The sequence below is a fragment of the Homo sapiens genome, chromosome 8, assembly GCF_000001405.40.
Source record: "Homo sapiens chromosome 8, GRCh38.p14 Primary Assembly".
NCBI lineage: Eukaryota > Metazoa > Chordata > Mammalia > Primates > Hominidae > Homo > Homo sapiens.
Window position 1 is genome coordinate 90,186,018 of NC_000008.11, and position 11,115 is coordinate 90,197,132.

Here is an 11,115-nt window from a genome sequence, read left to right on the forward strand (position 1 = left end):
ATCCAATCTGTTGAAGGACTGAAAAGAACAAAAAAGGCAGGAAGGGCAAATTTGTTCTTTTTGTTTGAACTGGGACCTCCACCTTCTGCTCTTGGACATCAGCACTCCTGGTTCTTGCACCTTTGGACTTGATTTGGGACTCACACAAGTAGTCCCCTGGTTCTCAGGCCTTTTGACTTGTGAATTACAACACTGGCTTTTCTGGTTCTCCAGCTTGCAGACAGATCCTGGGACCTCTTGGCCTCCATAATCACATGAAACTATTCTCATAATAAATTTATATGTATATGTCTGTGTCTATACATCTCCATATCTATACACATCCCTATATCCATCTACATCTGTATTTCTATCTACAGAGAGATATAGAAATGTATATGTATGTAGATAGATATCTACCTATAGATAGAGATATATCTTTATCTATCTAGATCTACAGCTCTATATAGATGTATAGATATAGAGATGTATATCTATATAGACATTTATCTATAGATATATAGAGATATATCTAGATATAGATATATAGAGATATATGGAGATATGTGTAGATATAGATATATGGAGATATGTCTAGATATAGATATATGGAGATATGTCTAGATACAGATATATGGAGATATGTCTAGATATAGATATATAGAGATATATCTAGATATCTATCTATCTATACCTATATCTTATCTATATATCAATTAATCTATATGTATATGTATATCTATATCTGTCTATATCTCCTGTTTGTTCTGCTTCTCTGGAGAAGCCCTTAGAGGGACTGGTGAATGTTGCAGAGCCACCATTGCGGCAGTGCCTGGGAAATGTCCTTGCTCCTGGATGAGGCTCCTTGCTGCCTTCCACCATATGTTGTTCCATGCCAGGTGTGCTGCCTTTAGTGCAGACCTCTTTTTCTTTCTCAAAGTAACTCAGGGAGAAAAAGAAACAAAGCAAAAGGGTAGTTTGGCACCCTTGGAGACTGTTTTCCTTACTTGTTAAATTCTTTTTCTTTTTTCTTTTTTTTTTTTTTGAGACAGAGTCTTGCTCTGTTGCCCAGGCTGGAGTGCAGTGGACCAATCATAGCTCACTGTAATCTTGAAGTCCTGGGCTCACGGAGTCCTTCTGCCTCAGCGTCCTGAGTAGTTGGGACTACAGGTTTGTGTCACTATGCCTGGATAATTTTTAATTTTTTGTGGAGACAGGGTCTTTCTGTGTTGCCCAGCCTGGCCTGGAATGCCACCCACCCTGGCCTCCCAACGTGCTGGGATTACAGGCGTGAGCCACCGTTCTTGGAGTAAATTATTTTCTATTCTTTCTTGAGAACATCTTGCATTGATTCAAAAGGTTTACGTATGTTTTCTTTTTTGCATGACAATGAAGCTAATAATGGATTTACTTATTTTAAAGTAGTTTAAAATGTTATTTTTATTTCTCATGGATATATCACTGCATGGCTCAGAAATTCATAGAAATGCTGGTATTATTTTAGCTTAGAAATAGATGGATCAGGAGGTATTGTCTATTCCAGTTTTTAGAATTCTAGTGTAATGTTACCAAAATGAAGAGAGTTTTAACTGATGCTGAAAAGTTAACAAACTATGTCAAGAGCAAATTTATTTCCATAGTTTGTTAAGCCACTTTTTTCTTCCTAGGAAGTGTGGATTTTAAAGCAAAGCTTAAACTGCTTTGGCTCAGTGTATAATTGTACTTTTGTTTTTAAAGAAAATGTTACTATGGTCATCTATGATTGAGATCCAATTACTCCAGAGTTAGACTTTTCCTATTTCTGTTCTTTGAAATTGCATAAAATTCAGCTGACATCAGCTGTGCAAATGCAGATAACTGCCTGTCTTCCAAGAAGATGACTCATTAACATGAGTAACTAAGATAAGTAAGATTTTCTTGTCAAATTCCTGGTGAATGCATTTTTTTCTCCCCATGGTCTACTCCCATGCAAATATGAAGAAACAGCAAATATAAATAAATTACCTAAACTTAGTGGTGATACTGACTGATACAGATGTTTTGAAAAGCAAAATGGTGGTTATGAGAACAAAAAGATTTGGGTAAAATGAGTTCACATGTAACATAGTCTCTAACTTTCCAGTAAAAAAAAAAAAAGTGAACTAATTGAGCCTCAGAAAAGCTAATAGTTGCTTGAATTTCTATGATTTTTGGTCAAGCCAGCTTTATCTAATTTTGGTGTAAATAAAGAAGGGTTAAAGTGGAAATGCAACTGGGGCTTATTACCTTCATTTGTGTTTATAGAAGCAGAAGGCAATCAGGAAACAAATGAAAAATAATGCAGAGACTGAGGTAATGGGTGCCGATAGTTCAAACACAAATGGAATAAACTTTTTGATTTAAATGTAGAAGCAGGAGAGTCAGGAGATCCACAATTTAAGATGTGTTAGCTGCCATAGTGCCTGAGAATCACTGGTAGACAGCAGTTTTGAAATCTGGGAAAGAAACATCATAACAAAAAATGATTTTCTTGGAGAAGAATGGGTAATTCTGAAATTCTTGGAAAAAACAGGGAATTCTGAAGCAAGGTCCAAAGAGGGTTCATGAATGGGCTCCATTTTGTTCTTGAGTTCTTAAAAATATAGGCAAACATTCGAGTGGTTTGCAGATATGCTTTTTTTTTTTTTTTTGGTTGGGGGAGAGGAAATGGCTCACAGTTTTTATAAAATTCTCTAAAGGGGCTGATATGGTGGTTCACACCTTCAACCCCAGCATTTTGGGAGGCCAACATGGGAAGGTCACTTCAGGCCAGGAGTTCTAGACCAGCCTAGGAAAGCACATCTATCAAAAAAAAAAAAAAATTAGTTGGGCATGGTGGTGATGGTAGTGCATACCTATAGTCCCCATTACTTGGGGGGCTGAAGCGGGAGGATGGATTGAGCCCAGGAGTTCAAGGCTTCAGTGAGCTATGATCATGCTACTGCATTCCAGCAAGACTCTGACTAAAAAAAAATTCTCAAAGGGTCTATGATCCAATAAAGTTTATGAACCAAAGGTCAAAGGAAAGAGCACCATTCCACTCCAAAACTTACTCTGTATGTGAATCAGTCACTTAACCTCTATGAACCTTTGTTTCCAATATGTGTAAAGTTAACTGTCCTGCCTCCTCCACAAGTACTATCATATGGTTCAAATAAGATAATGTGTGTGAAAATATTAACCAACACTGGTATAGGGAGAACTCACTGTGTGCCCCAGGCACATTTTCAAGAACTTTATGAATTTTATCTCAATCTTTATAATAACTCTATGAAATGAGAATTACTTTTGGTATTTTACTTATAAGGCTACTGAAGTACAGAGACCAAGTGATTTGCTCAAAGTCACACAGCTAGTAAGTGATACCTCTGGAACTTGAAACTACTCAGTATGATTCCAGAATATAGGTTCTCTGTTGCAATGCTCAAATGCTTCTCTAACGTCAAACATGAACTAATTTATGAATGATGGTTGATGGAGATATGTTAAGGATAGAGAAGTTAAAATTTACCAATAATTTTTTTAAGGTGGTGATTATAGTGGGTGCTCAGGAACACCAGCTTGGGGAACCTTAGGGAGCACTAGAGAGACAATAAAATGTAAGTAGAAAGTCTGCTAGTTTTACCTGTCCTCAAACTTGCTGCTATGTACTCAGATTGTTAAGGCAAATTGGGCTCAAGCTAAACCACAGTTCTTTTCAGAACCCCTTCAGCCAGGCCAGCCTTAATATGCTTGGTAAGCTGACTGAGGAGGGCTTAATGGCCTCTCCCTTGTGCAAAAGCATTTGTTCAGTGTGGCAGCTCTGGCTGACTCCTGATGAAGGGCATATGGAGTGTGGGAATGGCCATGGCCATGGTTTCCTCCTTTGAGGATTGGAACATCAGAGAGCTATGGAAGATGTTTGCTGGAACAGTAAAGATCTATATTTGCTTTAACAAGAGTATTTTTTTCCTTTTCCCACCCAAGCAGCATGCACCATTTCAGCTGTAGCCTACAGTGTCTAGATGAGATACGGAGCAAGAAGAAAGACATTTTAGGAATTCCAACCTGATCCCAGAAGTCATAGATCATTGGAAATCTCTTATTTCTCTTATATCCACATGCTTGTGATATTTAGAACAGAGAGTTCCTTTCTCACAAGCATCTCAGAGCTCCCTGCAAAATCTCATAGTGGGAAGGAATCTTAAGATGTCGTCCTACCCAGAGGTTGTTAAAGAGCTTCAGGATCTGTGTGACTGTATGCATTTTTCTGAGATGATCTGTAGGTTTCATAAGATTCTCAAAGAGATTTATGGCCCTTGAAAACAATAAGAACTACCAGTTTAGTCCAAAGCCTAGGCTTAGAAAAAATAAAATTAACTATAATCCATGTAGAATATATAATTGCTTTAAAAAGCTCTTCAGAAGGAAATGCACTAGTCGCAACAACTGTTTTCAGCTACTCTTGCTTCTCAAAAAGATCCTCCATTTATCAACTGTAATCTCTAAGGCACTTTAAAGTCATTTATTTTAGTTATAATCTCTATGATGATGGACGGAAAATAGCTGGTCAGGAACACCTTTAAAGTAAGTCTTGCAGAAAGTCACTAAGTTTCCAAGGAGTTTTCTTGTTTCTGGGCTAATAGCTCCACCTCCTTTAGTTTCTCTATTTGTCTCGGTCCCCACTCACTGAATTTTTGATTCTTGGTGTCTATGATTAAGACATTAGAACTTGGAAGGAGTGTTATAAACGTAATAAAAGTTCACATTAATAATTAATTGAGCACATTTTCATGCAGTGACTGGATAGTTTGGACGAGGTTGGAGACACTGCGTATCTTTTTGTGCCTCTATTTCCTCACATATAAAACAAAAAATTAAATAATGCCAAAGAATGATCTTTTTTCTTTTCTTTGAGACAGGGCCTCACTCTGTCACCCAGGCTGGAGCACAGTGGCGTGATCACAACTTACTGCATCCTCGATCTCCTGGGCTCAAGTGATCCTCCTAGCTCAGCCTCCTGAGTGGCTGGGACTACAGGTGCATGCAACTACACCTGGTTAGTTTTTTGTTTGTTTGTTTGTTTAAATTTTGAGCCAGGCATGCCAGGCATGGTGGTGCGCACCTGTAATCCCAGCTACTTGTGAGGCTGAGGCAGGAGAATCCCCTGAACCTTGGAAGTGGAGGTTGTAGTGAGCCAAGATAGTGCCACTGCACTCCAGCCTTGGTGAGAGAGCTTGACCCTGTCTCAAACAAAACAAAAAATTTTGTAGAGACAGAGTCTCGCTATGTTGCCTAGGATGGTCTTTAACCCCTGGGCTCAAGCTATCTTCCTGGCTTGGCCTCCCAAAATGTTGGGATTACAAGCGTGAGCCAGGGCACCCAGCCTCGGAGAGTGATCTTAGTGGTGGCTTCAAGGAGGTTGTGGACAATTGATAGATGTCCTTATATTCTGAATGTTGTTCGAGGACTCAAAGATGAAATAAGGACTAAGGAAGTACAGTTACACACTCAACTGAAAAATCTCTGTGATCCAGCTTGTCCCGGGTGCTTCCACACAGGACAAGTGCTTCGAGTGATTCACAGAAGCACTAGCGGGCCACTAGCACTCTGCTGGATGGTTAGATGTGAAAACTGGAGCTTCTTTGCCAGGTTCCTTATAAAAGTAAAAGAGGTTGTTGTCCCCAACATAGCTTGATGGAGAAAAAATATGTTTTTCTGGGACATAGATGTACTGTAGGGCAGTCTGTTTAAACTTTTGGGCTTAAGTGATTTTGATGACATCTTCATATTGGCCAAAACAGCCTATGGTCAAATCAGCTGTTTGGCAAATCATATTAAAATGTCACTAAAATTGAGGGTTCTTTTAAGGAGTATAAATATTTAGAGTTATTACCCAGTGGGAGGCCGGGCGCAGTGGCTCACGCCTGTAATCCCAGCACTTTGGGAGGCCAAGGTGGGCAGATCACGAGGTCAGGAGATCGAGACCATCCTGGCTAACATGGTGAAAACCCATCTCTATTAAAAATACAAAAAATTACCTGGGTGTGGTGGCACGTGCCTGTAATCCCAGCTACTTGGGAGGCTGATGCAAGAGAATCGCTTGAACCCGGGAGGCCAAGGTCGCAGTGAGCCGAGATCGCGCCACTGCACTCCAGCCTGGGTGACAGAGCAAGATTCCATCTCAAAAGCATTAATAAATAAAATAAATAAATAGAGTTATTGCCCAGTGGGAATAGTTCATTACTATACATTCTTAGAATAACAAACATTTTTTTTCTTGGATCATTCACTTACTAGTCATATGACTTTGTCCAAATTACTTAAATCTCTGTGTATTTCAGTTTTCTTATCTGAAAAATGGGGTAAATAATTGTAGGTGTTTCAAAAGTTTACTAAGAGGAATAAATGAGTTGATACACATAAAACATTTAGTACAGTACTTGATCCATGTTAAAGATTCAATAAATATTGAGTATTATTATTTTTCATTATTTGGGTGGTTTTTCTACATATATGAAAGCCAGTCTTTTAATCATCATAGTTATTATAAATGACCAGTCTATTTAGGGTTAAAGTTTAGAAATATTAGATAAAACCGCATTATAACATTTACTAATGTAATCACTTTTTAATTTGTACACTTTATATAATCATCATTATATATTTATTTATACAGTGTATACTGTGAAGTATCATAGGCAATGTTTTCAGTACTGTATGCATGGAAAGGAAACATCTTCCCCCGGACTCCTTAAAATAGATTACTGAGAAGCTATCCCTGATCAGAAGGTGAAATTCACACAGGAGACACTGACTCTTTAGACTTTGTTTCACTGGCCTGGTGGAAGATGGACCTCTGTGTATGAAGAGAGGTCAACTGATTCACTGAAGGTCAGAGACAGAGCGGCTGGGCTGAGACCAACTTCTGGTCTTCCTGACTTCTAGTATGTTTCTTCTGCTTTTCTTACGAGGAACAAAGAATCTTATAACAAACAATTTAAAAAGAAGTGTTTCAAATAACCTGCTTCATACTGTTTTAAAATAACTATACCTTAAATATAAATCTCTCACAATTGCACTTTCTATTCAGAGTAAATGGGAGAAAGGAAGTTAAATAGTGAACTTACCTGCTTATGTTCAGTGATTGAGCTCATTTCTGAGTACCAAAGGCTTGAAATTATGAATTCTATAAAATTGTCTGAATTTCTGCTTGAAACTAAATACCTGGTTGCCTTTCACAGGAGAGATAATAACCCTTTACCCTGGTCTTGGTTAAGGAGCACTTTGCCCAAGCTATATATTACAAGGAAATGGAGCATCCATTACGTGGTGTTCTGAAGTTCTCCTAGTTCAGCAGGCTCCCAAAGAAGAGCTCTCAGCAAGTGTTAAAAATTCGAAATGCACAGGTGTCTGAGAGCCAAGTTGTTTTTAGCTTATTGGTTTTTTGTTTATAGCTTGTAAAATGATTTAAGTAGAAACTCTGAGCCTGTGTGGAAGTCCTATCTGGGAAGCTGCTTTCCAAAAGTGTAGGTACCTATATATGTTGCCTAATGTGATTATGCATATTGTACAACAGTTGGTCCAGTCATTTACCCAGAGGCTTTATCAAATTTGCTAAAATGGTAAGCAGACTAGCTAAATGTGGTCCCTGGGATCTGAAAGATGGAAATCTAGCTTATAACAGGATAAGGACATTCCATTGGCCATATTTCAAACTTACAGGTATCATAGCATAGAAACCTCAACCTTCATATTTGGTTATTGAGACAAATTATCAAACACACTTTAAATTCTACTGATTTCTATGAAGAAATCACATTCTTCACATCAGCCAAAAGCAGACTCCTTCATACCCAGAGTGGATCAGGCCCCGCATGAAGTGCTATATTCTTCTGAACACTATTGCTCAGTTTGTATTCACACAGCTCAACCACTCAGGTTAAATGACCTCTTTTAACCTGAGGTCATTTTGTAGTCTGTGTTTGTTTGTTGAAACAATCAGGTATTAAATAGTTACTTACTTTATGCAACATGGTTTTGTTGTGTAGGTATGGTTGACTGTCTCTGGCTCTTTACGTAGGTAGGTGATCTATTGTCTTGGTACTGTCAACGATTTAGTATTGAAAGCTTTGAGTCCTAGGAAACTCCTCCTTAGAATATGAAAAGTCCCAGTTTTCAGTGGTGAGTGAGGAAGTTTCTGGGGAGAGTACAAATTACACATAGTGGCCCCAAAAAAGGGCCTGGAAACAACACTGTTTTGAGTGTTAAATGAATATAGCATAGATTATCTACCTTTTATAGTTGCTGTCACTATTTTTTCTTCCTTCCTTTTCCCCTGATCACTGATGCTGACAGCCATGATTTGTGCTTCATAGAAATGGATGTGATGGAAATGTGCAACTTCCGTGTTGCAATCATGGTTGTGAATGTTAACAGTCAGTGACTTTGCCTGTGGATTAATCACTGTTTTTTTGTATTGAGAGAGTACTATCTTAACTTTTAAGATTGCAAACTGCTATTGCTTTTTATGCACAACCATATTTGATTTGATTCTTTTTCTCTTTCGAGACAGGGTGTTGCTCTGTTGCCCAGGCTAGAGTGCAGTGGTGCAGTTATGGCTGACTGCAGGCTTGACCTCTTGGGCTCAAGTGATCGTCCCACCTCAGCCTCCTGAGTAGCTGGAACTACAGATGTGTGACAGCACGCCTGGCTAATTTTTTGACTTTTTTTTTTGTAGGGATGGGGTCTAGTATGTTGCCCAGTCTGGTCTCAAACTCCTGGGCTCAAGCAATCCTCCCATCTCGGCCTCCCAAAGTGTTGGGATTACAAGTGATCCACAGTGCCTGGCTCACATTTTCTAATAGTTCAGAAAATGACAATGAGAAGGATTACAGTGCCAACTCCAATTACAGTGCCAATTACAGTGCCAATGACCCAAACATTATAAAAATGAAGATGAAATGAATATACTATTTTAATGATAGGTGGAAGGAAAAATAGAACTAGATTATGTGGGCAAACACCCTAAATAGGACTGTATAATATGCAGAAAAAAATTGGGGATTGGGCATGGTAGAGAAGATGATATAAAAGCATATGCAGATACTCCTTGACTGACAGTGGGATTCTGTCCCAATAACCCTAACTTGAATATGCATGGCTGACTGGGAGCTGCAGCTCACTACTGCTACCCAGCATTGCAAAAGAAGAATTGTCTGTACTGAATTGGTATTGATTTTGCACCATTGTAAAGTAGAAAAATCGTTAAGTCAAACCATCATAAGTTGGAGAACTTCCTAATGGAGAATGGGTCTCAGAAGTCAGGATGAGACAAGCAAGTAATTCTAAGTCAATCAAAAGTTGTTTTGGATAGCAAAAAGAAACCAATGCTCAACCAAAAATAGTAGCTCCGGAATTTGCTTGTACAAAGTACACGAAAGAACACACATTATTTTATTGTTCCCATGATTGTTCTGTGAAACTGAGTAAAGTTAGTTTCTGGGGTTGCCCCTAAGCTCAGAATGGCTTGTGCAACTAACCTCAGAAAAGAGAAATTTTGATAACAAATGGTTCAGCCGATTCTATCAGATTTAACATTTATTCTTTCATTCTTTCTATAGTATTAACATATCAAGTGACGCTTCAAATCAAAGTAACACAAAATATTCCTCCTAGCTCTTAAGCACTTTAATCCGAAAAATGGAGTTGCAAAACATCTTGAATTCTATGAAGATTTTAGTGAAGTCTCAGAAAACATAAAACAAAAGATGGTTGATACCTTGTCCGAGTACAAATTAGGCTTTGCTTATCTGTCTGCACATTCCGTAGACACTGCAAATAAAAATTTTGGGAAATTCCATTCCATCTATAAACTTCTTCCCCAAAATAATGAGGAAGATCTCACCAGGGAAATGTCCTGAACATTTTGTACAGAATACTGCTAAATAGGGGCATGATATGATTACCTGTAGTATTGAAATATTTATAATAAAAGTTTTTGGTTACTTTTTAGTTTTCTTAAAATGTGAAGAAGCACTTAATGAGATATTTGACTTTATAGAAATGAAAGGAGACAGCTTCCTTAAACATGTACCTACAAGATGAATGTAATTTTTGCTGCCCATAGGAAAGATTTTTAAATTCTGACTTGATATCAAATCATGTTTTCAAAGTGTGAGACAAGACGAATGAGTTTTTCTAATTTGGAATTATGTTGAGGGTGAAAATGGAGAAGAGGATTAGAGTAAAAGAGAAATTTGGATGCAGTTTTCTCAAAACTGTTTGATAATTTTTCAAGAGGACATAAGGTGCCTAGAAAAGGATGAACTAACTGCACTTCAGTTCCTGAATATCATGAACAGGGAAACCAACCAGAAATAATTTCTTCAATTTCTTTACTGGAACTAATTTATCTGGAATTCAAATTATTTTAACTTCAAAGCCTCAAGTACATATTAACCTGTTTCCCAAGAAAAAGAGGTTATAAGGTAGGATGATGTGTACTGTGCTATAAAGAGTTTAATGATGATGGGCATTTCAGACATAGATAGTCATTATAACGAATTTATAGATGCAAATAACCCGCTTGACAGATAACTACTCTATCAAAACCAGCCTGAGGATACAAGTGGTTGGAAAGTTTTGGAGCACTGGAAACTAATTCCTTCAAATCTAAAAACTTGCTCTTGCAAGTAAGCAAAATTCTAAGTATTCCATGATTAAACACTTGGGCGGAAAGGATATTTAACTTGATACTATAGCTTTGGACTGACACCAAGAGCCAGTGCAATGTGGGCTTGATATGAGAAGAGCTGCAAGTCAAAGTGAATTTTATGTTGGACTGTATTCAATTTTACTACTACATAAAAGAAAAACGGATGCCTAAAGACTGAGTCAGTTCAGAGAAGTATTATTGGAAAGCAAACTAGAAAGAGAAAAAATATCCTGGGACAAAGAAAAACATGTCAACTTTTTTTTTCAATAAATACAGGCAATATCTGTTTAGCAATGCTTACATTCTTCTTTTAAAGTCACATTTATATATTTAAGGAGTACACAGTAATAATGCCTACAAAATTTAAATATCCAATGAAGTTAAAAAGTTAAATTATTCTTTTAAAGAAACATTGTAAAAGA

The 11,115-nt window shown here is 37.7% G+C and overlaps 1 annotated feature.

Moving 5' to 3' along the window:
• Positions 1,640-2,074: a transcriptional cis regulatory region, noted in NCBI's record as "candidate enhancer chr8.2225 targeted for multiplex CRISPR interference". NCBI's record gives its function as "positively regulates DECR1 gene expression in K562 cells {active_cell/tissue: K562}" and the evidence as "EXISTENCE:mutant phenotype evidence [ECO:0000015][PMID:30612741]".